Here is a 2168-nt window from a genome sequence, read left to right as displayed (position 1 = left end):
TCTCCCCATCTTTGTGGTTTTATCTACCTTTGGTCTTTGATGTTGGTGACCTACAAATGGGGTTTTGTTGTAGATGACCTTTTTGTTGATGTTGATGCTATTCCTTTCTGTTTGTTAGTTTTCCTTCTAACAGTCAGGTCCCTCAGCTGCAGGTCTGTTGGAGTTTGCTGGAGTTCCACTCCAGAGCCTGTTCCCCTGGTATCACCAGCAGAGGCTGCAGAACAGCAAATATTGCAGAACAGCAAATATTGCAGAACAGCAAATATTGCTGCCTGATCCTTCCTCTGGAAGCTTCATCCCAGAGGGGCAGCCACTTATATGAGGTGTCTGTCGGCTGCTACTGGGAGGTGTCTCCCAGTTAGGCTACACGGGGGTCAGGGACCCACTTGAGGAGGTAGTCTGTCCATTCTCAGAGCTCAAATGCCATGCTGGGAAAACCACTGCTCTCTTCAGAGCTGTCAGATAGGACGTTTAAGTCTGCAGAAGTTGTCTGCTGCCTTTTGTTCAGCTATGCCCTGCCCACAGAGGTGGAGTACAGAGGCAGTAGGCCTTGTTGAGCTGTGGTGGGCTCCACCCAGTTCAAGCTTCCTGGCCGCTCTGTTTACCTACTCAAGCCTCAGCAATGGCAGACGCCCCTCCCCCAGCCAGGCTGCCGCCTCGCAGATCGATCTCAGACTGCTGCGCTAGCAGTAAGCAAGGCTCCGTGGGCATGGGGCCCACTAAGCCAGGCACAATAGAGAATCACCTTGTCTGCCAGTTGCTAAGACCTTGGGAAAAGCGCAGGATTTGGGTGGGGAGTGTCCTGTTTTTCCAGGTAGTCTGTCACGGCTTCCCTTGGCTAGGAAAGGGAAATCCCCCAACCCCTTGTGCTTCCCAGGTGAAGTGACGCCCTGCCCTGCTTCAGCTCACCCTCCGTGGGCTACACCCACTGTCTAACCAGTCCCAGTGAGTTGAACCAGGTACCTCAGTTGGAAATGCAGAAATCACCCATCTTCAGTGTTGATCACGTTGGGAGCTGCAGACCGGAGCTGTTCCTATTTGGCCATCTTGGAATGCCCCCTAATTATTTTTTAAATTAATTATTAATCACAAATCTTTGTGTCTAAAATGTGTCTAAAAAATACTTAATTTTTAAAATAATTAATAAATAACAATTACTAATAATATTTTATATTATTATATAAGTAATGTTATGTTTATATATGTCTATATAATTTATATAACATAAATATAATATTACACTATGATAATAGTTTATAATAATTTTTAATAATTAAAAATAATAATACTTAATTTAAAAATAATTAATACTATTCTGCATTCCTTTTGCTACCTCTGCCTCCCAGGTTCAAGCAATTCACCTGCCTCAGCCTCCCGAGTAACTGGGATTACAGGTCCCCACCATGATGCCCAGCTATTTTTTTTGTATTTTTAGTAGAGATGGGGTTTCAATATGTTGGTGAGGCTGGTCTCAAACTCCTGACCTCAGGTGATCCACCCACCTTGGCCTCCCACAAAGCTGAGATTACAGGCATGTGCCACTGTGCCCGGCCTTGCAAATTGAATATCTTGAAGATACTTTTCTATGTTTTTTGTTGTCATTGTTGTTGAGACAAAGTCTCACTCTATCACCCAGGCTGGAGTCCAGTGGCGCAACTTCAGCTCACTGCAACCTCCGCATCCTGGATTCAAGTAAATTCTCCTGCCTCAGCCTCCCAAAGTGCTGGGATTACAGTTGTGAGCCATTGTGCCTGACTGCCATGGCTTATTTTTAACTATTTTGCCATTTCTAATTTTATTGCACTGTAGTTAAAGATCACGGGCTAGTTGAACAATAGTTATTTTGTCTAAGGACAGGAAAGACGTTTGTGGCTCTCTGTACAGAGCACTGCAGAATCATGGACTATCAGACCATCGCTACCTCCTCTGGCTGTTGAACTCCAGGCTCAAAGATGGTACCCTCTAAGGTTTCCTGGACTCCCTCTCCTGTTGCGCCTTTGGCTGCTCTCTTTACTTCACAGCCTGCTGGTGCTGTGCAGGAGTTTGCCACTAGGCTATGCTGCTCCAGGGCAAGGGCCTGGCCTTGACCTTCCCAGGGCCTCCCCAGTCCCTGAGAGGGCGTGGGCCCTCCAAAGATCAGCTGAGCACAGGATCTGGGTGGGAAGAAT

At 46.5% G+C, this 2168-nt stretch overlaps 1 annotated feature.

The window, feature by feature from the left end:
* Positions 208-763: an enhancer, noted in NCBI's record as "NANOG-H3K27ac-H3K4me1 hESC enhancer chr20:2245384-2245939 (GRCh37/hg19 assembly coordinates)". NCBI's record gives its function as "activates a minimal SCP1, AML or CMV promoter by ChIP-STARR-seq in naive and primed H9 embryonic stem cells {active_cell/tissue: H9 hESC(naive and primed)}" and the evidence as "EXISTENCE:reporter gene assay evidence [ECO:0000049][PMID:30033119]".

This window comes from Homo sapiens, chromosome 20 (assembly GCF_000001405.40).
Source record: "Homo sapiens chromosome 20, GRCh38.p14 Primary Assembly".
In the NCBI taxonomy this organism is placed as follows: domain Eukaryota; kingdom Metazoa; phylum Chordata; class Mammalia; order Primates; family Hominidae; genus Homo; species Homo sapiens.
This window is presented reverse-complemented; position numbering and strand designations above follow the sequence as displayed.